Source organism: Homo sapiens, chromosome 7, assembly GCF_000001405.40.
Source record: "Homo sapiens chromosome 7, GRCh38.p14 Primary Assembly".
NCBI classification, from domain to species: Eukaryota; Metazoa; Chordata; class Mammalia; order Primates; family Hominidae; genus Homo; species Homo sapiens.
Window position 1 is genome coordinate 65,223,722 of NC_000007.14, and position 24,200 is coordinate 65,247,921.

Below are 24,200 nucleotides of genomic sequence, written 5' to 3' on the forward strand. Positions count from 1 at the left end.
CATCTAAAAGTTAGGGGTCAAAAACCAATAATTTTAAGGTTGGGCATCGTGGCTCATGCCTGTAATCCCAGTACTTGGGGAGGCCGAGGCCAGCGGATCACTCGAGGTCAGAAGTTCGAGACTGGCCTGGCCAACATGGTGAAACGCCATCTCTACTAAAAGTACAAAAATTAGCCGGTCATGGTGGCACACGTCTGTAATCCCAACTACTTGGGAGGCTGAGGCAGGAGAATCTCTTGAACCCAGGAGGTGGAGGCTGCAGTGAGCTGAGATCAGGCCACTGTACTCCGGCCTGGGCAACAGAGCAAGACTTTGTCAAAAAAAAAAAAAAAGTCTTTTTTAAACAATTTCACTCTTGTTGCCGAGGCTGGAGTGCAGTGGCGTGATCTTGGGTCACTACAACCTCTGCCTCCTAGTTTCAAGTAATTTTCCTGCCCTAGCCTCCTGAGTAGCTGGGATTACAGGTGTTTGTCACCATGACCAGCTAATTTTTTGTATTTTTAGTAGAGATGGGGTTTTACCATGTTGCCCAGGCTGGTCTCAAACTCCTGACCTCAGGAGATCCACCCATCTCGGCCTTCCAAAGTGCTGGGATTACAGGTGTCAGCCACCATGCCCGGCCACAAAAAGACAATTTTTAAGCTGAAATTTGATTTTAGAAAGACTGTCAAATATGTCAGAGGGTTAAAATACTTGACCAAAATAGGATCACAGGTCACCGTAAAATAATAGTCATTCATTTAGCCAAAGTGATGATTAAAAGATTTTTAAAAACAAAACATTTTACTGTTTGATGCAGGAGATTAAGTTTTTCAATCAAAAATCTGAAAAAAGGCAGTATGAGAAAAATTCTACCTCTCTTTTAAAATTTATTCAAAAGGTAAACAAAAATACATTACTGTGTCATATTAATAATAATACATAAAATTTTGTTCAAAAGAAAATCAGCTTTTACTTTTGTATTAGTATATTATCAATACTAAAGTTAATTTTGGTGAAACTTTAAAAATAAATCCATCAAATATATTATTTTTGTCCACTCTAGATTTCTGTACATATTTTATAATATTTTTAACTTCTAATATTTTAATCTACATTCATCTTATTTTTTCAATTTGAGACAACCTTTAAGTAATTTCAAACTAGACAAAATGTTTCTAACTTTCTTCATGAAAGCATGCTTTGTTTTTGTTTATACACTCTCTATACCAAATTGTTATTCCTTAAATCTAGTAGTTTTAAATATACATATTAATTACATTAACTCTGAGCAACCAAATTTTTAGTGAAATTTCCAGGAAGTAATTTTGAATGTTTTGTACCATTATTTTTAGATAAAAACCATTTTGTATTTTAATAAAAATATTTTCTCAAATTTTCTGTTAACTAACAGATCTAAATATATTTAACTTTTCTATATCATGTAAAAATAAGATTCTAGTCATGCATGGTAGCTCATGCTTGCAATCCTAGCACTTTAAAAAGCCAAGACATAAAGACTGTTTAAATCCAGGAATATGAGACCAGCCTGAGCAACATGGCAAAACCATATGTCTACACATAATACAAAAATTATTTGGGCATGGTGGCCTGCACCTGTAATACCAACTATTCAGGAGGCTGAGGAAGGAGAATTGCCTGAGCCCGGAAGGCTGAGGCTGCAGCAAGCCATGATCAAGCTACTACACTCCATCCTGGGTGACAGAGGGAGATCCTTTCTGGGAAAAAAAAAAAAAATTGGCCAAAACATATAAACTTAAACTTAGGGAGTTGTTTGTGTTTTTTGTTTTTATCATTATTATTTCAAAAGAGGTGGTGTTTGGTTACATGAATAAGTTCTTTTGTGGTGATTTGTGAGATTTTGGTGCATCATCTCCCCAGCAGTGTATGCTGTACCCAATGTGTAGTCTTTTATCCCTCACCACCCCCCGCCCTTTCCCCAAGTTTCCAGAGTCCATTATGTTACATAATTCTTATGCCTTTACATCCTCTAGTTTAGCCCCCACTAAAAAGTGAGAACATACAACGCTTGGTTTTCCATTCCTGAGTTACTTCACTTAGCATAATGATCTCCAACTTTATCTAGATTGCTGTGAGTGCCATCGTTTTCTTCCTTTTCATGGCTGGGTAGTATTCCATAGTATATATACATATACCCTATTTTCTTTATCCAGTCGGTTGATGGGCATTTAGGCTGTTTCCATATTTTTACTATTGCAAATTGCGCTGTTATAAACATGCGTGTGCAAGTGTCTTTTTCATATAATGACTTATTTTCCTCTGTGTAGATACCCAGTACTGAGATTGCTGGATCAAATGGTAGTCCAACTTTTAGTTCTTTAAGGAATCGCCATGCTGTTCTCCATATTTATTGCACCAGTTAACATTCACATCAGCAGTGGAAAAGTGTTCCTTTTCATCACATCTATACCAACTTTTTTTCAATTATATATAAATATATATAATATGTAATATATATTTTTATATATATTATATAAATATATTATATTTATATATTATATTTATATATTATATTCATATATTATATTCACATATTATATTTGTATATTATATAAATACATATTATATATTATATATTATATTTATTATATAAATACATATATATTATATTTATATATTATATAAATACTTATATTTATATAACATAAATACATATATATTATATTTATATGACATATAAATACATATTATATATTATATTTATATAACATAAATACATATTATATATTATATTTATATAACATATAAATACATATATATTACATTTATATAACAAATACATATATATTATATAACATAAATACATATATATTATATAACATAAATACATATTGTATATATTTCTATAATATATACATATTGTATATTATATTTATATAGTATATACATATTGTATATTGTATTTCTATATTATATACATATTGTATATTTATATATTATATAAATACATATATATTTATATATTATATAAATACATATCATATATATTAATATATAAATACATATCATATATATTATATTTATATGTATTAATATATATCATATATATTATATTTATATGTATTAATATATATCATATATATTATATTTATATATTATATTAATATATATCATATATATTATATATTATATAACTATCATATATTTACATATTACATAACTATATATCATATATTTATATATTACGTAACTATATATCATATATTATATTTGTATATTATGTAACTATATATATTATATTTGTATATTATGTAACTATATATTATATATATTATATTTATATATTATATAAATATACATTTATATATAATATATAAATGTATATTTATATATTACATAAATTATATATTTATATATTACATAAATTATATATTTATATATTATATATTACATATTTATATATTATATAAATATGTAATTTATATATATTACATATTTATATAATATATAAATATATATTATATATTAATATATAATATATATTATATATTAATATATAATATATAAATATATATTATATATTAACATATAATATATAAATATATATTATAATACATAATATATATAATATATAAATTTTATATATATTATAATATATATTATATTTATATTATATATTTATATTATATTATTATATAAATATTTATGTAATTATACATTATATATTATATATTATACAATTATATAAATATACATTATATATTATATAAGTATACATTATATATTATATAAATGTACATTATATATTATATAAATATACATTATATATTGTATATTATATAATATACATTATATTTATATAATATATACATTATATTATATATTATATAATATATATTATATATATTATATAAATATATAATATAATGTATATATTATATAAGTATATTATATATTATATATCATATAACTATATATTATATATTATATAATATACATTATATTTATATAATATATACATTATATTTATATATTATATAATATATGATATATATTATATAATATATAATATAATGTTTATATATTATATAAGTATATTATATATTATATTATATATCATATAACTATATATTATATATTATATATTACATATTTATTATAAACATGTTATATAGTATATGTTATATATTATATATTTATTATATAAATAATATATATTATATAAGATATATTATATATAATATATAATATATTTATTATATATTATATAATATATTTATTATATATGTTATATATTATATTATATAAATATATATTATATATATTATATACTTATTATATAATATATATTTATTACATATATTATATATTTATATATAAATTATGTTTTATAAATTTATATAAAATATTTATGTAATTTATCATATTTATAAATATATAATTATTATATAATTTATTATATATTTATAAATATATAATAAATTTATTATGTAATTTATTATATATTTATAAATATGAATATATATTTTCATATATAATCTTATATATTATATATTATATTTTATATATATTTATTATATAATATATTATATATAGTTATTATATATTATATATATATTATATAAGATATATATAATTATATCTTATTATTATATATAATATATTATTATATATATTATATATGTAAAATATATATACTATATATTATATAATATATATATTATATAATATATATTTATTATATATTATATATTTATTATATATAAGTATATATAATATATATTTATATAATATGTAATATAATATATAATAAATATATATAACATATAATATATAATATATATTTATATAACATATATAATATATAATTAATATATGTTATGTGTATTATATATAATATATATTATGTATTATATATTATGTAATATATATTATGTATTATATATGTTATATATTATGTATTATATATTATAATTAACATATTATATATTATATGTTATATATTTATTGTATATTATATATTTCTTATATAATATATATTTATTATATATTATATATTTAATATATTATATATTTAATATATAATATATTATGTATTTATTATATGATATATATTTATTATATAATATATATTAATGTTATGTATTTATTATATATGTTATATATTATATATATGATATATATTATATGATATATTATATATGATTATATATTATGATATATATTATATATGATTATATATTATATGATATATATTATATATTATGATATATTGTGTGATATATTATATATTATATATGGTATATATTATATGATATATATTATAGATAATGTAATATATATATTATATATAATATATATTATACATATTTATTATGTATAATATATATTTATTACATATATTATATTTTTATTATGTATATTATATATTATGTTATGTATATTACATAATTATATTATAATAAATATATATTTATTATATTTATATTATATATATTATTTATATTTATGTATATTGAGAAGGAGTCTCACTCTGTCACCCAGGCTGGAGTCCAGTGGCAAAATCTTGGCTCGCTGCAACCTCTTCCTCCCAGGTTCAAGCAATTCTCCTGCCTCAGCCTCCCAAGTAGCTGGGACTACAGGTGCACGCCACGTCGCCTGGCTATTTTTGCATTTTTAGTAGAGATGGGATTTCACCATGCTGGCCAGACTAGTCTCAAACTCCTGGCCTCAGATGATCTGCCCACCTCAGCCTCCCAAAGTGCTGGGATTACAGGCGTGAGCCACTACACCCAGCCTGATTTTTTAATCATAGCCATTCTTTCAGGAGTAAGGTGGTATCACATTGTGTGTTTTTTCTGTTTTTTGTTTTTTGTTATTTGTTTGTTTTGTTTTTTGAGACAGAGTCTCGCTCTGTACCCGAGTCTAGAGTGCAGCAGTGCAATCTCAGCTCACTGCTACCTCCGCCTCCCAGGTTCAAGCGATTCTCCTGCCTTAGCCTCCCGAGTAGCTGGGACTACAAGCGCCTGCCACCACACTCGGCTATTCTTTGGTAATTTTAGTAGAGATGGGGTTTCACCGTGTGAGCTAGGATGGTCTCCATCTCCTGACCTCGTGATCCACCCGCCTGGGCTTCCCAAAGTGCTGGGATTACAGGCGTGAGCCACCACGCCCGGCCCACATTGTTTTGATTTGTATTTCCCTGATAATTAGTAATGTTGAGCATTTTTTCATACATTTTTTGGCCATTTGTATATCTTCTTTTGAGAATTGTCTATTTATGTACTTAGCCCACTTTTTAATGTGATTATTTGTTTTTTTCTTGCTGATTTGTTTGAGTTTCTTGCAGATTCTGGGTATTAGTCCTTTGTTGGATGGATAGTTCGTGAATATTTTTTTCCCTCTCTGTGGGTTGTCTGTTTAATCTTCAGATTATTTCTTTTGCTGTGCTTTTTAGTTTAATTAAGTCACATTTATTTATCTTTGTTTTTGTTGCATTTGGTTTTGGGAACTTGGTCATAAACTCTTTGCCTAAGCCAATGTCTAGAAGAGTTTTTTCTATATTATCTTCTAAAATTTGTATAGTTTCACATATTAGATTTAAGTCTTCAATCCATCTTGAGTTGATTTTTCTTTAATGTAAGTTTTTTTTAGACAGAGTCTCATTCTGTCACCCAGGGTGGAGTGCAGTGGTGGTATCTCAGCTCAATGCAGCCTCTGCCTCCAGGGTTCAAGAGATTCTCATGACTCAGCCTCCTGAGTAGTTGGGATTACAAGCATGTGCCACCACATCCGTCTAATTTTTGTATTTTTTTTTCTTCAGATGGAATCTTACTCTGTCACCCAGGCTGGAGTGCAGTGGTGTGATCTTGGCTAACTGCAAACTCCCACTCCTGGGCTCAAGCACTTTTCCCTGCCTCAGCCTCCTGAGTAGCTGGAATTACAGGTGCCCACCACCACGCCCAACTAATTTTTGTATTTTTAGTAGAGACTGAGTTTCTCCATGTTGGTCAGGCTGGTCTCGAACTCCCAACCTGGTTCAGGTGATCCACCCGCCTCGGCCTCCCAAAGTGCTGGGATTACAGGCGTGAGCCACCATGACCAGCCATTCCTGAGGTTTTAATAACCTGATGTTTCTCTCCTGTTGGAGACAACCCTGAAGATCAGTTTTTACCCCAGAGGACTGACCAACAAGAGGTCAAGGTGTGCTTGAAAAAGCTGGTGTAGGAGTTGGTTCAGGAAAGGTCAGGCTGTCCAAGCATTCAGGAATACCTGTGTGACTCTCCTTGTAATTAGCACTCAGGTCCCAGAGAGCTACTCACTGCATGTGTCTTTGACCTGCTGTTGATTCATCTCCTCTGCTAAGAAGGTGGCTGATGGCTGGGCTATTTACACCTAGGAGGGTGTTCCAGGCCAGGCCCCAGGGAGCCTAAAATAATCAAAAAGGTCAGAATCTAATTTGAAAATAATGTCTTCAAAGTAAAATATTGAGGGTGGCCACAAGGAGAATAGATTTAAGTTGACCTGAATATACATTTCAATTAACAACTGTTAAAAGTGGGTATTTTTGAAAAAAACAACAAGGCAGTTTCTAAGTTGTTTACCAATAATTTACATTGAATTCATAAGCTATTGATTGGCTACATGTTTTTCTTTGTTTTACAAATTCCCAGAAAGAGAAATAATGGGTGAGACAGCTAGTCCAAAATGAAACTTTTTAAAGCAATTGTCCCTGGGCACAGGTGTGGGGTGAGACTGAAGTCCCATACTTTCATTTCTGTGTGCTTGATAAATTTTGCAGCCCTCACAGACCTGAGACTGTTCTGAGATATTTTTCTTCTCTCACCTCCTTGTTCAGGACACATGAACCATTAACAAGAAAAATATTTAAATAAGAAACTCACCAAGCCAGGAGAATAATGAATACCTGGATGTGCCCCCTAGGAATCTGGATCTCTTCTCTTTTCCCCACCCTGCCCTCAACTCCCCTTACATACATACAGCCTGGATCACAAGACCCAAGAAAACCATTCCACCAGCTGCTGAGAGAAGAGCCACAAAAGGACCCAGAACTTCTCCATGGCTACCTTAGAGCACCCTAAAATGTGCTAACAGCCATTGTTAGCATTCAGGAGCTGTTTATTCCCATTTTCACACTACACTAAAGAATTTTAAACAATCACAAGATAGACTGGCTGGAAGTTGGTGCTTGGAACATCCCACGTCACCTAAAAGCACAGTGCTGCAATCTCAGGTACACATCTGCCCATCTGCTACCCAAATAAAACAATTGTTATCAAGAAACCAGAGCCCATGCAATGGCGATGCATCAGCTGGGTGTGGTAGTGGCCAGCTAGCAGGGCCTTGGCTGTGTGAACTAAAGGGTATCTAAGACAGGTCTCAATCAATTTAAAAAGTTTTTTTTGCCAGGGTTAAAGACATGCCTGTGACACAGCCTCAGAAGGTCCTGATGACATGTGCACAAGGTGGTCGATGTAGAGCTTGCTTTCATATATTTTAGGAAGACATGAGACATTAATCAATATGTGTAAGAGGTACATTGGTTCGATCTGGTAAGGTGGGACAACTGCAGTTGGGGGCTTCCAGGTCATAAGTAGATAAGAGACAAAAGATTACATTATTTTGAGTCCTTGATAAGCCCTTCACTGAATACAAAATTGTCTGCCTCAGTGAATCTGCATTTTTACATAAACAATAGGGCAGAGGAAGAAATCAGATATGCATTTGTCTCAGATGAGCCTCAGAGGGATGACTTTGAGTTCTGTCTGCCCTTTGTTGACAAGGAATTTCTTTATGGGCAAATTGTGAGGAAAATATGTAGCTTTTTATATTTGTAGCTATCTTATTTAGAAATAAAATAGGAGGCAGGTTTGCCTGACATAGTTTCCAGCTTGACTTTTCCATTGGCTTAGTGATTTGGGGGTCCAGAGGTTTATTTTTCTTTCACAGTGGGGACCACTTTTATTATCTAGTGTATATGTTTAAACTAGACAGAATAAAACATGATATATATTCATAAGTAATAAATATAGGTTAATAAAAAACTTGTAAACGCAAATGTAACTAATGCTACGCCTTTCAGAATAGCCCATCCTAATTCTTCCATTTCTCATTGACTATAATTCCAATAGACTTTTCCCATAATGTTGTAGTGGATCTTAATGTCAGAGGCATTCAAACGATAGGGACAGGAGGCAGAGAAATTTGGGGAGGGCAGATCCCTGGTAAGGGCCCCACCCTCATGCCAAAAAGCCTGATAGCACTGCTCAAAGTGAAAATTTACATCTCTGTTTTCCCGCTTGAATGTTGCCTTTTCCAAAACCACCCATGTCCCACCCCACCCTGCTTCTTGTGCCCACAGAAACCCCAGGCTCAGCCAGCAGAGAGAGGAGAAGCAGCTGGACATTGGAGACTATGATTGGACATTAGAGAGAAGGAGCTTGACTTCACAGAGAAAGCATGATGGAATAATTTCAGAGAAAAGTCTGGCCAGGGATGACCAGACTTCAGGGGAAGATAATCTTGCTCAATATCCTTTTCTGCTCCCCTTCCTGCTGAGAGTCACTTTGATTGGCAATAAAATATCTCACATTTACCATCTTCAATTTGTTCTTGCAACCTCATTCCTCCTGGATGCCAGACAAGAACTCAGGTGCCATGAGTATGGGTGCAAAAGGCTATCACACTGTCCCTCCACTGAGCTGTTAACACTTAAGCTATCCATGGACAGCAAAGCTAAAAGGGCACTGTAAGAGTCCTTCTGGGGTTTCAGAAGTCATGAGCATCCCCCAGATGCTGCCATGGGGCCAGTACAGAGTTTGCTCCTGCCAGAGTCCAAAAATGTCTCAGCTCCTGCACCCAGTCACCTGCATGCTCCCCCTCCCACAAGTGGTGGAGCACAGTGGGCTGAGTGAGTGGAGTTTGCCCCTGCCAGCACCCGTGCACTCCAGTTCCCACCTGTGAAGGTGTCAGAGAGATATTCTGCTTAAAAATCAGAGTGACTCCATCTTAAATAGCAGCTGGGTGAGATAAGGCTGAGACCTACTGGGCTGCATTCCCAGGAGGTTAGGCATTCTAACCTTCTATCAGGATGAGATAGAAGGCCAGCATAAGATATAGGTCACGAAGACTCTGCTGATAAAACAGGATGTGGTTTAAATAAATGCCAGCCAGAACCCACCAAAACCAAGATGGTGATGCTCATTCTCACTGCTCATTATATGCCAGTATAATGCATTTGCATGCAAAAAGACTCTACCACCAGTGCCATGACAGCTTACAGATGCCATGGCAAGATCTGGAAGTTACCCTGTAGCCTCTAAAATGGGGAAGAACCCTCAGTTCTGGAAAATTTCTGCCCCTTTCCTGAAAAACTCATGAATAATCTACCCTTTGTTTAGCATATAATCAAGAAACAACTATAAGTATAGTCAATCGAGCAGCCAATCTCACCGCTCTGTCTATGGAGTAGTCATTCTTTTATTTACATCTCTAATAAAATTGCTTTCACTTTACTGTATGAACTCATTCTGAATTATTTCTTATGGGAGGTGCAAGAACCCTCTTTTGGGATATGGATTCAGACCCTTTTCCAGTAACGTTAAGACAAGTTTGGCTAGGCACGGTGGCTAACGCCACGGTGGCTAACCCCAGCACTTTGGGAGGCCGTTGGCAGGTGGATCACCTGAGGTCAGGAGTTCAAGACCAGCCCGGTTAACATGGCAAAACCCCATCTCTACTAAAAATATAAAAATTAGCTGGGCGTGGTGGCGTGTGCCTGTAATCTTAGCTACTCAGAAGGCTGAGGCAGGAGAATCATCTGAACTCGGGAGGTGGAGGTTGCAGTGAGCCGAGATTGCACCATTGCACTCCAGCCTGGGCAACAAGAGTGAAACTCTGTCACACACACACACACACACACACACACACAAAAGAGAAGATTATGTGTGGGATTCTTTACTCAAGGAATTCTTTACTCAGTGAGTGAATTCAGAGAGTACAAAGTTGCAGAGGGAGAAAGAAATGTCTTTGAAAGGATTATGAGGAACAAAAGTCACAGAAATGCTTCCCATTGTTATTTACTGGCACATATATTCTCACTTTGGGAGGAAATGCATCTAATTTCAGACCGTGGTTTATAGAAGGTGCTATGAACCAGCAGCAAGTTCATATCCAGAACTGCTCACTACAGAGGGTTTTGTCTCCTGGCTGGTATCATAAATTTGTCTTTCACTGGCTCCTTTAAAACTTCTATAATGGTGGTAGATTTCAGTAAAGTGGAGCCCCCACAATCCAGCCTGTTATAGGTAGATAGATAGACATGATAGGGGCAGGAGAGGGCTCTCCCCTACCTCACCCACTAAAAATGTTAGGTGATGGTTTGGCAATTATGGCATTGCCTCACTAAAAGTGATAAATTGGCAGTGAAAGCCAGGGAGAGGCCAGTTCCCAATGGTCCACACCTGTTAACATTTAAGTGTTAATTAATGGCAGGCCCCAGGGAAAAGCAACTTCCTGGGCATGCACACTGACAGACAAAAAAGGCAAAGTATGGTCTTCTGGGTACACTCCACCAGAGAAAAGAAAGCCTCAGATGGGCATGCGTTTAAGTTCCTAAACTTACATACATACATACTGCATGTACTCAATTCCCAAGGGTAAGGAGGGCATCACATCTGCAGAAAGCCCACCCTAGGGGAAAGAGGTGAGTCTATAAAGTCCCGGGATCAAAGTTAAAGACCCCCTTTTTTTCCCTCTTTTTAACCTTCAGGCACCCACTTGGATCTCTTCCAAGCGTTCTTTCCTGCTCTAAAGCCTTTTAAATAAACTTCCATTCCTGCTTTGAAACTTGCCTTGGTCTCTTTTTCTGCTCCTTCAGTCGAATTCTTTCTTCTGGGGAGGCAAAAATTGAAGTTGCTGGAGACCCACACAAACTCGCCCCCCAGTAACTCGGATCTCTTCCGTTGGTAACAAGCCTGCCCACCCCTTGCATCCATCCAGCAGCGACATCCACCTTGAGCATGCTGAGGTACGGCATGCCGTCGGTGCCCACCTTCCTGCTGTTCACCTCCCCATGCTAAGCCACTTCACACCGCACAGTGGAGCTCCACCTCACTGCCCAGCACCACCATCTGGTTGAGCAGCAGCCATGTATGTAGGATGGGCCAGTGAGGACAGCAATGTGTAGGGGCACACAATAGCTGGACAGATTCCTCACTGCCTGACTCTGCCTGCAGCCCTCGCCCAGCACGTCCAGGCCATATGCCTGAAGGTTGCTGCCTGATACTGTTTTGCTCTGTGTCTCCATCCAAATCTCATATCAAATCGTGATCCCCACGTGTTGGAGAAGGAGCTTGATGGGCAGTGATTGAATCATGGGTGTGAACTTCACTTCCCCCTTGCTGTTCTTGTGATAGTGAGTTCTCATGAGATCCGGTTGTTTAAAAGTGTGTGGCACTTCCCTCTTTACTCTCTCTTCCTCCTGCTCCATCCATGTAGGATAGGTCGGCTTCCTCTTCACCTTCCGCCACGATTGTAAGTTTCCTGAGCCTCCCCAGCCATGCTTCCTGTATAGCCTGTAGAACTGTGAGTCAATTAAACCTCTTTTCTTCGTAAATTACTTAGTCTCAGGTAGTTCTTTATAGCAGTGTCAGAATGAGCTAACACAATGGGGAGCTTATTCTCCACTAGGCTCTCCATGACCAGGCTCCACAGCTGGTGCCACTACTGTGGGTGGATCCTCAGGTGAGAGGACTGGATCACAGGCCCTGCCCTGCAGAGTCCTCCACCCTGGACCCCACACTCACACTCGCCCAGGTCCAAAGGTCATGTCTCCACCACCAGGCTGACCTTGATGCCCTGATGTGATGCACTTCATGGACTTCCTTGTGGTTCTCCAGCCAGGAAATGGAGAGTGTTGGATTGCTGGTGGCCACACAGCAAAAGTGAATGGGTTCAACAGCTGGCGTGGCCAGCAGCTTTTTGTCCATCTGCTGGGGCCGAGTCCAGTAGGGGAACCCTGGCACATGAAGGCCACAACAGAGGTGAGGAACAGAGGCCCATCTGACCTGACCCCTTCAATGGGTCCTTCTGGCTAACTCCAGACTCAGTTTCCTCTTCTGCGGAGGGAGAATGTTGGCCTTTTGAGGACTCCTGCCTGGGCTGGACTAGACTCCCATGAGCATCACCACGATGTCCCACAAACCCTGGACATTCTCAGGGCCGGGCTGTGTGTCTCCTCTCTTCTCTGTCTGCTTCCTCCAAGCTGCCACTCCTGTTGAGAGGCCCAGTGTGCTCCAATCTGAACTGGAGAACTTCAAGGCATGAGGGCATCTTCCAGGGAAGCCCCTACCCTCCAAAGGAGGCACACAGAGGCAGGCCCACAGGGGCATGGTCCAGAACCCAGCGGGCATCCCAGCTGGGTGGATGAGCCAGGACAGGCATTTGTAGCAGTTTTCCAGGAGGGTGAACTCAGATGCCCACAGTGTGGAGAACCTAGAAGGCAGTGGGGTGGTGTCTGCCCACTAGAATCTGAGGCCTTAGGCCACCCTATGCAGTGTTTCAGGACCTGGTGGGCACCTAATAAGGATAGAGTTCTAGAGGCTTGGCCTCCTGCCTATCTTGGTGTCTAGGGCTGCTGCCACCCCCTCCCGCACAGCCCAGTTGGCTTTCCTTTTTCTTGGGGGCTGTGGTGGGAGCTGCCTTCCTGTGAAGATTCATGGGGTGTCTGGGCCAGCATCTGTCAGAGGGAGGCACCAGGGGCCCAGGACAGAGGAGGGAGGGAGCCCCTCCCCATGGTAACCTCACTGTCATCTACTTGCAGAGACACATCCATCCCTCAGAGGAGGACACTGAGGCACGGGTGGGAGCAATGTGGGCAGAAGGTGGGAAAAGGCACCTCCCAGAGCTCTGAGCTGCCCTCCCAGGCCTCCCAGGGTGGGTGGTGGCCCACAGGGTGATGGAGAGAGCCCAGCAGGCTGTGGCAGAGACTATTTCTGGACCTGAGAGACCACAATGACAGTCTGCCCACTGCCAGACGGTGCCTTCTGAAAGGTGGCCTGCCAGTGACCCTCACAGCCCAACCAGACATGGGGCAGAAACCCAATCACCTGCCTGGGATAGCCAGATGGGCAGGAGCAAGAAGGGACTCAGGGCGAGAAAACCAAAGTGTGTGTTCCAGGGTAGTGGCCGAGGGCTCAGCTGAGCTGAGAAATTTAGATCCTCTTTCAGGATCTGCTCCTCTCCTGGGATCTGGGAAGGGACATGGAGCAGCCCAGAGGCCAGCCATGACTGGAGCCTCCACCACTGTAGGGTGTTGAGTGAGGAAGCACCCTGCAGCATGTGAAAGTGGGTGGGGGAGGGGGTGGTGAGAGTCTCTCCCTGCCCTGAGTCTCTTGACCCAAGACTGATGTCCATGAGGCTATGCCAGGCCAGCCTCCTGGGGAGGATCACATTTTCTGCTGGGGAACCTTGTTCCCAATTCCAGGTCACTACAGTTAAGGTCCTCCAATGCATTGGGGGAGGCATGGGGTAGTATGGAGGGGGAGCAACACTCCATCATAAGGGCTTTGGGTCGGCCCCAGAGAACAAAAATCAAATTTAGACTGCTGTCTGAAGCTGACCACCCTAAGGGATTTTAATTTGGAGGTGAGATGAGGCCCTGGGGTCAGGAAAGGAACCCATCTTGTTTTGGACTCTTCAGCTGTCATGGGTAGGAGATTTGTTGCCAGCTATGTGCTTTAATTGAGCCTAAGGGGAGGGGGCACCCAGAAGGGACTCTGAAGCCAAAGGTGAGAGTCCTGTCTTCCTGCCTCCCCACCTCACTCCCCAAGAGTACACATTGGGCAGTAGAGTTTCCTTACAAAGTCAGGAAAGAAAAAATCCAGAGACCAGGCAGGCTAATAAATGCTCACCAGAAATATCTGGCCTAATAATCAAAACAGCTCTGCCATATTCATTGTCTGGGACAAGGAAGAAAACTGAGGTTCAAGGTGGACACCAAGAGTCTAGCCAGGCAACTGGCAGCCTAGAGCCCTAGAGGTCCCCGCAGACATCGCCCTCCAAGCCCACCCACACGCAACGTTTCCGCCAACGGGATGGCTCCACTCCCAGCTTAATCACCTTTAAATCACTCAGGGACCCCCTGGGCCACCTGCTCCACTCCAATCCACCTCGCTCACCCGTGAAGGGCCTCCCTATGCATGGTCGCCAGGCTGGGGGTGGGGGTGTCCGTGCCCCCCTTGCCCAGGATGGGGGTTGCCTGTTTCCAGGGGAACAGGCTCTTGGCAGTCGCCCTCCAGGCCACCCCTCTCTAGTTGGTAGCCGGGAGTATGGTAGCGCGTGTGCAGGGCAGATAGCACACAGAGCGCTTGGCGATTTGGTTGGGAGTCGCCAGCGCCACACCTCGGGGACAGCGTCAACTTTCCAAGGCGGGCCTGGGGCACCCTCTCCTTCTCTGGCCTCGGGGCGCCTCCTAGAAGGCCCTCCTTTTCTCGCAGGCCCCTGACTGTCGGCGGTCCCACACTTCTGGGACATCTCCCCCATTACCTCTCCCTAGTGATGGGTGTGCACCCCATGGGGCAGACAAATCTCTTAGCCCACCAGGCTTGAGAGTAGGGTAGGGGCAGTGGTGGCACTAAAGTGTCACCGCATCACGCTGGCCACTTGCGGGCAGGGGCTGGGCTTCAGTTGACTCCTGCACATCCACCCTCCAAATTCCAGCCTCTGGCTTTGGGGCCTAGGGGCAGGGTCTGTGGACACCACGGGCCAGGCTCCCCGCCAGGGCGTCGCACTTGGGTGGTGGCCCTGCAGCTCCTGGCGCCACACAACCGCTGTCCCGGCTCAAGCAGTGATCTTCTGAAGGAGTGGCAACAGAAGCCGGGACTAACCTGGCAGTGCCACTTACACGCGGCGCCTTTTCCCCATCCAGTCCCCTGTGTCCAGTTCCCCAGCGTCCCCTGCAGGGCCCCGAACCCTCCTCGGTGCCCGCGGCCTCCTTCCCCGCCTGCTGCTCACCACACACCGCGCTGCCCTTGCTCAGGGCTCCAAGGCGGTGCTGGCCACCACGGTCACCGCCAGGCTGAGCGCGAGGGCGGGGCGGGGCGGGGCGTCCATGGCAGGGGCGGGTGTCCTGGCGTCCTCAGTCTCCCAGAGGGTGGCGACCCCCGCGTCCCGCTCCGGCACCGGCGGGAAGAGAGCGCCTCCCGGAATCTGGTGGACAAAGAGGGCGGCTCCTTACGTAGGCGGGCAGAGACAGAAGCTGGCGTGGCCGGGCTCCTGCTCCCCTATTCTCCGACCCCCGCCACCTAGCCCGCGCCACCCAGGGCTCCTGGATCGTCTGGCTCGGGGCCTCCTCCCCGCTGTGTTCCCTCCCTGGCGGCTGCAGAGCCCTCCTGGGCAGCGGAAACAAACTTCCCCGAGCAGGAAGCCCGTGCCCCAGCCTCCTCTCGGCAAGGACCAGCCCGCGGAACACCCCGGCCCCTCGGCGCCTGCCCTGTCCTTCTGGCTACGGGTCCAGGAGGGCTGGCATGAGACCAATCGCGACCCTGCGGTTCCAGAGCCTGCGTCCCGCACTGCCGAGACCACACAGTCTCCTCTCTTAGGAGCCTTGACATGGCCCTCTTGACGGGTGGTTGGGGGACCAGGGTGTGTGTATATGGGGGACAGTTGGTCAAAAGTGGCTTTTTGTTTCCCCAAAAATAAAGACCCCTTTGAAATTTAAGGTATTTTCTTTTTTACTTAAAACCAGTAGGGTCTAATTATTTAAATGTACCCATGATCCTGTCAGTAAATTTGAGCACACTTTTATTCGTTTTTGTCAGTTAGTCCTTTTGCTTGTTTCTGTCTTTAAGGAGAATTTAAAATTCCACCTGAAATCAGTAAAGTATCTTCAGAAAAATTGTATTGAGAAAAGAGGCTTTTTCAGGAGGAACTGATATCTCTGGCGAATTTTCTGTCCCCTTGTTAGAGTTTATAAGTCAGTTATTTTATTAAAACTTAATTTCAGTAAAAATTTCCTATAGTCGGTGGAGCAATATAAAAAAATCTGGTGCAGTGGCAGTAGAGCAGTCTTTAGAATTCTTAGACATTCTGATGTGTCGAATTGAAGCCATGCCTGAAAAATTCATGTCACAACTATTGTTATTTTTCAGTGCCACTCTTTGCCCTTGAGGGAAGCAATGCATTCCTTATAACTCTAGCAGCCCAAAGAGCTGTCTATGGCTACAACACCCTTCAAAGATTACATTTTAATGAAGTAGACCATGAATACAAAAAAGCCTTAGCTTTTTTTTTTTTTTTTTTGATGGAGTTTCCCTCTGTCCCCCAAGCTGGAGTGCAGTGGCTTGGTCTCAGCTCACTGCAACTTCCACCTCTCAGGTTCAAGCGATTCTCCTGCCTCAGCCTCCCGAGTGTCTGGGGTTACAGGTGCCTGCCACTACATCCAGCTAATTTTTGTATTTTTAGTAGAGACAGGGTTTTGCTAAGTTGGTCAGGCTGGTCTTGAACTCCTCACCTCAGGTGATCCACCCCCCTTGGCCTCCCAAAGTATTGGGATTACAGGCATCAGCCACCACACCTGGCCTCTTTTAGCATTTCTTGTGCCTTTACATATGTTACTTAAAGAGCGTTCAGAAATTATAATTTGGGTATGTTAGGATTTCATTCTGTTGGGGATTCTAAAAAGTAATACATGTGGCCGGGAGCAGTGGCTCATGCTTGTAATCGGTGGTTTACAATCTGTGGCTTGTAATCTGAGGCTCAGCACTTTGGAAGGCCGAGGTGGGCAGATCACTTGAGGTCAGGAGTTTGAGACCAGCCTGGCCAAGATGGTGACACCCCGTCTCTACTAAGAATACAAAAAAATTAGACTGGCGTGGTGGCAGCTGCCTGTAATCCCAGCTACTCAAGAGGCTGAGGCAGGAGAATCACTTGAACCTGGGAGGTGGAGGTTACAGTGAGCATGGAGATCGTGCCATTGCACTGCAGCCTGGGCCACAGAGTGAGACTCCGTGTCAAAAAAATGAAAAATAAATAACATATGTAATATAAAATATATGTAAACCATGGCAGTTCTTCATTTCTTGTTGTTGACTTCTAAGTGTTTGTTATATATCTAGATAATATTTCTTTTTCTTTTTTCTTTTTTTTTTTTTTTTTTTTTTTTGAGACAGAGTCTCGCTCTGTCGCCAGGCTGGAGAGTGCAGTGGTGCAATCTTGGCTCACCGCAACCTCCGCCTCCTGGGTTCAAGCAATTCTCCCACCTCAGCCTCCCAAGTAGCTGGAATTACCGGCACCTGCCACCACACTCAGCTAATTTTTTTGTTATTTAGTAGAGATGGGTTTTCACCATGTTGGCCACGATGGTCTCGATCTCTTGATCTCATGATCAGTCTGCCTCGGCCTCCCAAAGTGCTGGGATTACAGGTGTGAGCCACCGCGTCTGGCCATTAGATAATATTTCTTTCCAGACAGATATTTTGAAAATATTTTTCTTCCAGTCTGTGTCTTGTCTTCTTATTTAAATGAGAAGCAATGTCTTTCACAGTTTTTGTTTCTTTGTTTTAAAATTTCAATGAAGGGTGGCATATCATTGCTGTATTCGGAGATCCAGATCTTTTCCTGTTTTCTTCTAATTTTATAGTTTTATGTTTACATTAAGGTCTATGATGCATTCTGAGTTAATTTTTGAGAGGGGTGTAATGACTATATCTATATATTTTTTTTTTTGCATGTGGATGTCTAGTTGTTACAGTACCATTTGTTGAAGACTATTTTTTCTCCATTGTATTGTCTTTGATTCTTTGTGAAAAATCACTTAACTATATTCGTGTGGATCTATATCTGAGCTCTGCATTTGTTCCTCTGATCAATTTGTCGATGATTTTGCCAATACAACGTCTCATGATTACTATAAATTTATAATAAGTATTGAAGTTGAGTAATAACAGTCCTCTTACTTTGTTCTTTTTCAATACTGTGTGGGTTGCTTGGTTTTTTCTTTATATAATTGTTAGAAAGTGTTCTCAATATCCATAAAATAATGTTTTTTGTTTAGATTAGGATTCTGTTGAATCTATAGGTGAAGTTAGACAGAAATGACATCTTGACAATACTGACTCTTCCTATATATGAGAAGGAACTATTTCTCCATTTATTTAGTTACTAATTTATTATCAGAATTATGTAGTTTTCATCAAATAGATCTTGAATGTATTTTGTTAGATTTATACGTGTTTCATTTTGAAAAGTGCTAATTTAAATGTTAACGCATTTAAAATTTCAAATTTGACTTGTTCATTGCTTCTATATAGAGAAGAATTTACTTCTGCACTGAAGGGGTGGGTTGCCCCTCCACACCTGTGGGTGTTTCTCCTAAGGTGGAACGAGAGACTTAGGAAAGAAAAAGACACAGAGACAAAGTATAGAGAAAGAAATAAGGGGACCTGGGGGACCAGCGTTCAGCATATGGAGGATCCCGCCAGCCTCTGAGTTCCCTTAGTATTTATTGATCATTCGTGGGTGTTTCTCCGAGAGGGGGATGTGTCAGGGTCACAAGACAATAGTGGGGAGAGGGTCAGCAGACAAACATGTGAACAAAGGTCTTTGCATCACAGACAAGGTAAAGGATTAAGTGCCATGCTTTTAGATATGCATACACATAAACATCTCAATGCTTTACAAAGCAGTATTGCTGCCCGCATGTCCCACCTCCAGCCCTAAGGCGGTTTTTCCCTATCTCAGTAGATGGAACGTACAATCGGGTTTTATACCGAGACATTCCATTGCCCAGGGACGGGCAGGAGACAGATGCCTTCCTCTTGTCTCAACTGCAAGAGGCATGCCTTCCTCTTATACTAATCCTCCTCAGCACAGACCCTTACGGGTGTCGGGCTGGGGGACGGTCAGGTCTTTCCCTTCCCACGAGGCCATATTTCAGACTATCACATGGGGAGAAACCTTGGACAATACCTGGCTTTCCTAGGCAGAGGTCCCTGCGGCCTTCCGCAGTTTTTGTGTCCCTGGGTACTTGAGATTAGGGAGTGGTGATGACTCTTAAGGAGCGTGCTGCCTTCAAGCATCTCTTTAACAAAGCACATCTTGCACGGCCCTTAATCCATTTAACCCTGAGTTTGACACAGCACATGTTTCAGAGAGCACGGGGTTGGGGGTAAGGTCACAGAATCTCAAGGCAGAAGAATTTTTCTTAGTACATAACAAAATGGAGTCTCCCATGTCTATTTCTTTCTACACAGACACAGTGACAATCTGATCTCTCTTGCTTTTCCCCACACTGCACCCTTATTATAATCACTTATTAGTTCTAGATTTTTTTACGTTGACTATTTTGGATTTACTACATAGACAATTCAATCGTGAGCTCCAGGAGCTCCACCTCCTGTCAGATCAGCAGCAGCATTAGATTCTCATAGGAGTCCAAACCCTATTGTGAACTGCACATTCAAGGTACCTAGGTTACACACTCTTTATGAAAATCTAACTAATGCCTGATGATCCGAAGTGGAACAGTTTCTTTTCTTTTTTTTTTTTTTTAGACGGAGTTTCTCTCTTATTGCCCAGGCTGGAGTGCAATGGTGCGATCTCGGCTCACTGCAACCTCCACTTCCCGGTTTCAAGCAATTCTTCTGCCTTAGCCTCCCGAGTAGCTAGGATTACAGGCGCGTGCCACCACGCCAGACTAATTTTTTATTTTTAGTAGAGACGGGATTTCACCATCTTGGCCAGGCTGGTCTTGAACTCCTAACCTTGTGATCCACCTGCCTCGGCCTCCCAAAGTGCTGGGATTACAGGCGTGAGCCACCGCGCCTGGCTGTGGAACAGTTTCATTTCCCTCAGCCCTAGTCCATGGAAAAAATTGTCTTCCGTAAAACTGGTCCATGGTGCCGTAAAGCTTGGGGACTACTGCCTTAGTGAACATCAGAGAACTTATACTACAGAAGCTCTATACACATCTATATACTACGGAAGCTATATACTACATTCTATATACTACAGAAGCTCTATAATGAATGTGGAAAGAGTTTTATTCAAAATGTACACCTTGGAAATTACCAGTATTCACAGAAAAAAAAAGCTTTATAGATGCAATAAATTTGAGAAAGTAATAAAAAAAAATCAAGCTCAGTGTCTCATGCCTCTAATTCTAGCACTTTGGGAGGCTGAGACAGAAGGGTAACTTAAGGTTAGAAGTTTGAGACCAGCGTAGGCAACATAGCAAGACCCCCATCTCTACAAAAGGGAAAAAAAGCATTATAAAAAATTAAGTCTAAATAAACATCAGAGGATTACACAAAAAAGTACTAACACTTTAAAGTTTTCTGTTAAACAGGAGTACTTAAAATAGGGAACTCAAAGTCTAAACAGTAAAATAATTTAGTTGTATGTTTTAAAGAATCAAGACAGATCAGGCTTGGTGGCTCACGCCTGTAATCCCAGCACTTTGGGAGGCCAAGGTAGGTGGATCACCTGAGGTCAGGAGTTCAAGGACCAGCCTGACCAACATGGTGAAACCACGTCTCTACTAAAAATACAAAAATTAGCTGGGTGTGGTGGTGGGCGCCAATAATCCCAGCTACTTGGGAGGTTGAGGCAGGAGAATCGCTCAAACCCAGGAGGCAGAGGTTGCAGTGAGCAGAGACCGAGCCACTGCACTCCAGCCTGGGCACCAGAGCAAGACTCTGTATCAAAAAAAAAAAAAAAAAAGTAAATAAATAAATAAAGAAGCAAGACTTTGATGTTTAGACAGATGTATTTATATTCAATGAATACTGGTTTTGTATTGACAGTATTGGAAATTTTCAATTATTATGTAATTAAACTCTCAAAAATTGGTTGGTGAAATGCCTAAATTCCTTGTGTTTATAAGAAAACATGTGGCCCACTGTTGCTGCCTCAGGATATGAGAGGCCATTCTGTATTAGGTGGGCATCATTAGCATCAGTTTTTTTATGGAAGCTTAGTGGGAAATGGAGGATGCTCTTTGTTGTTGACTTAACAGTGATGTGCTGGGTGCAGTGACTCAAGCCTGTAATCCCAGCACTTTGGGAGGCCAAGGCGGGAGGATCACCTGAGGTCAGGAGTTCGAGATCAGCCTAGCCAACTTGGTGAAACCCCATCTCTACTAAAAATACAAAAATTAGCTGGGCATGGTGGTGGGCGCCTGTAATCCCAGCTACTAGAGGGGCTGAGGCAGGAGAATCGCTTGAACCTGGGAGGCGGAGGTTGCAGTGAGCCGAGACTGTACCATTACACTCCAGCCTGGGCAACAAGAGTGAAACTCCGTCTCAAAAAAAAGAAAAAAAAAAAAAGAAAAGAAAACAAAATCTCTAAGATCACTAAATCAGAAAAAACCTAATGCTTCTTGTGTGCTTGACCAAGTAGCATATAGTGAATTTTAAAATGTCTTATTTAGACAATGTGTGAGCTTAATTTAACTATGAAAACTAAATGGTTTCTCATGTTTTAACACTGAAGTGCAATGAATCAAATGTTATCTTTTCCATGGTAACCTATTCTACTTTACTTAACATTGGAGGTAACAGATAATAACAATATACTATTAGGTAACACAATGGAATTACTTCTTTAGTAATTTTCTTTTTAAAAGAGAATTGAAACCCTAAATCATTTGGAGACTAATGTTCTCAAGAGATATATTTTATATTGTTTTCTCCCTGCTACAACTACTGGGACATTATGATAGTTACAATAAAGATTATGTAGAAGTAGAATTAGAAGCCATGGTTTCTGAATTCTGAATCATTAGTTATAAAATTGTATCCAATACTTTTCTTTGCATATTTTTTATTCCTGAGCCAATTGAACACATAATTTTTTTTGGTTTGATTTACATTACATGAAATATACCAATATATTAAGCTAAAGATAAACTTTAGTTATAAGAGATATATAGAAGAAAAAATGTATTTATGCGTGCCTATGTGTGTGTGTGTGTGTGTGTGTGTGTGTGTGTGTACACCTTTTCAAACTGGAAATGAAATAGTGGACCCAAACAGATACTTTCAGAAGAGTTGATGATTTACTAGCAAACAAAATCCTTACAAATTCTTAAAGCAGAGGCCAGGCACAGTGGTTCACACCTGTAATCCCAGCACTTTGGGAGGCTGAGGCGGGTGGATCACCTGAGGTCAGGAGTTCGAGACCAGCCTGGCCAACACGATAAATCCCTGTCTCTATTTAAAATACAAAAGTTAGCTGGGGGTGGCGGTGGGCACCTGTAAAAGTAGATGAAGAGGGGTTGGGCGCCCCCACAGATTCACCACATTTAATGAGTCCTCTATGATTGGGTATAGAAATTTTGTCAATTAGAAGTAAAACTGTGATGCAATCTCTCTAGCTGTTTGGTATCTTTAATTATATTGAAACCTATTTCCCTTTTCCTTAAGTCAAGTTCCAAGAAGTAGAATTACTACATGGGTCTAAGAGTATGCACATTTCTAAGGCTATTAAAACGTGGGTCTCCAGGAAGCTTGTAGCAAGACCATGCCATCTGTTCCTTTAATTAGCCCATGTTCCACCTGAACACTTCCTTACCACGAAGGGATAAATAAGTTCCCTTTTATCTCTTATTTTAGTCCATGATTTCCCCATTCCTGACTTCCTGTGGAAATACAGACAATGGAAGGGTCCCTCTGAGCTCTTAGTTTGCCAGCCTGTGAGATGAGCTTATGACCCATCTCTCTCCTTGGTAGCTGTGAGGCATGAGGACAGCAGTAGTGGGCAGAGCCTTCCATGAGGACATGGGCCTTGGTCCAGTCCACTCTGGGATGCCCTTGGCTAAAATCAGCTCCCTGCGAGCCTCATGCACCAGAGGCAGTGCACTACCTGCTCCCACAACTAGGGAACAGTGCTATTCTCCCCCGTTTGTTGGCGTCCACCTCTAGAATGCCCATCGGGTTGATTATGATGTTTCTGGACATCTTCTTGTACTTCCCAACCCACAGTGAGATGGTGAGCTGGCTGGGGCACCGTGTGTACATGAAGGTCTCACTGTCCCACTTTTTCCATTCCAAACACCTACAATCACAGGACAGAGGCTAAGCTGGCCCCACAAGGGATCCCAAGAGCAGCTCACAGCCCTGCTTTCAGAAAGAGGGAGCTGGGAAACAAACCCAAATCCAGGCACTGGGAGAAACAAAACAAGGAAGAGTCCCCCTGTTACTTCCTTGGCTAATGAGGCC

General features: G+C 40.3%; 1 long non-coding RNA gene and 1 pseudogene across 4 annotated transcripts in view, besides 3 other annotated features; one reads left to right on the forward strand and one right to left on the reverse strand.

Moving 5' to 3' along the window:
- The window catches only part of INTS4P1 (integrator complex subunit 4 pseudogene 1), a 93,193-nt pseudogene extending 82,692 nt beyond the window's left edge, over positions 1-10,501 (forward strand). The window contains exons 16-18 of one of the 2 annotated variants that reach the window (NR_146906.1): positions 7,265-7,407; positions 7,820-8,215; positions 9,344-10,501. The product of NR_146906.1 is annotated as an integrator complex subunit 4 pseudogene 1, transcript variant 2 (transcript). The remainder of the gene's footprint in view (positions 1-7,264; positions 7,408-7,819; positions 8,216-9,343) is intronic. The other variant, NR_146905.1, reaches the window with a different exon arrangement.
- Positions 1-24,200, reverse strand: part of LOC124901661 (uncharacterized) — a 32,854-nt gene that overhangs the window by 4,159 nt on the left and 4,495 nt on the right. Inside the window, exon 1 of one of the 2 annotated variants that reach the window (XR_007060367.1) lies at positions 7,284-7,414. The exons of the other annotated variant lie outside the window; for it this stretch is intronic. This is a non-coding gene — a long non-coding RNA (uncharacterized LOC124901661). Of the gene's footprint in view, positions 1-7,283; positions 7,415-24,200 lie in introns of those variants that run through there. 2 annotated transcript variants of the gene reach the window in all.
- Positions 7,023-7,586: an enhancer, noted in NCBI's record as "NANOG hESC enhancer chr7:64691122-64691685 (GRCh37/hg19 assembly coordinates)". NCBI's record gives its function as "activates a minimal SCP1, AML or CMV promoter by ChIP-STARR-seq in naive H9 embryonic stem cells {active_cell/tissue: H9 hESC(naive)}" and the evidence as "EXISTENCE:reporter gene assay evidence [ECO:0000049][PMID:30033119]".
- Positions 19,418-20,054: an enhancer, noted in NCBI's record as "NANOG-H3K27ac hESC enhancer chr7:64703502-64704138 (GRCh37/hg19 assembly coordinates)". NCBI's record gives its function as "activates a minimal SCP1, AML or CMV promoter by ChIP-STARR-seq in naive H9 embryonic stem cells {active_cell/tissue: H9 hESC(naive)}" and the evidence as "EXISTENCE:reporter gene assay evidence [ECO:0000049][PMID:30033119]".
- Positions 20,055-20,690: an enhancer, noted in NCBI's record as "NANOG-H3K27ac-H3K4me1 hESC enhancer chr7:64704139-64704774 (GRCh37/hg19 assembly coordinates)". NCBI's record gives its function as "activates a minimal SCP1, AML or CMV promoter by ChIP-STARR-seq in naive H9 embryonic stem cells {active_cell/tissue: H9 hESC(naive)}" and the evidence as "EXISTENCE:reporter gene assay evidence [ECO:0000049][PMID:30033119]".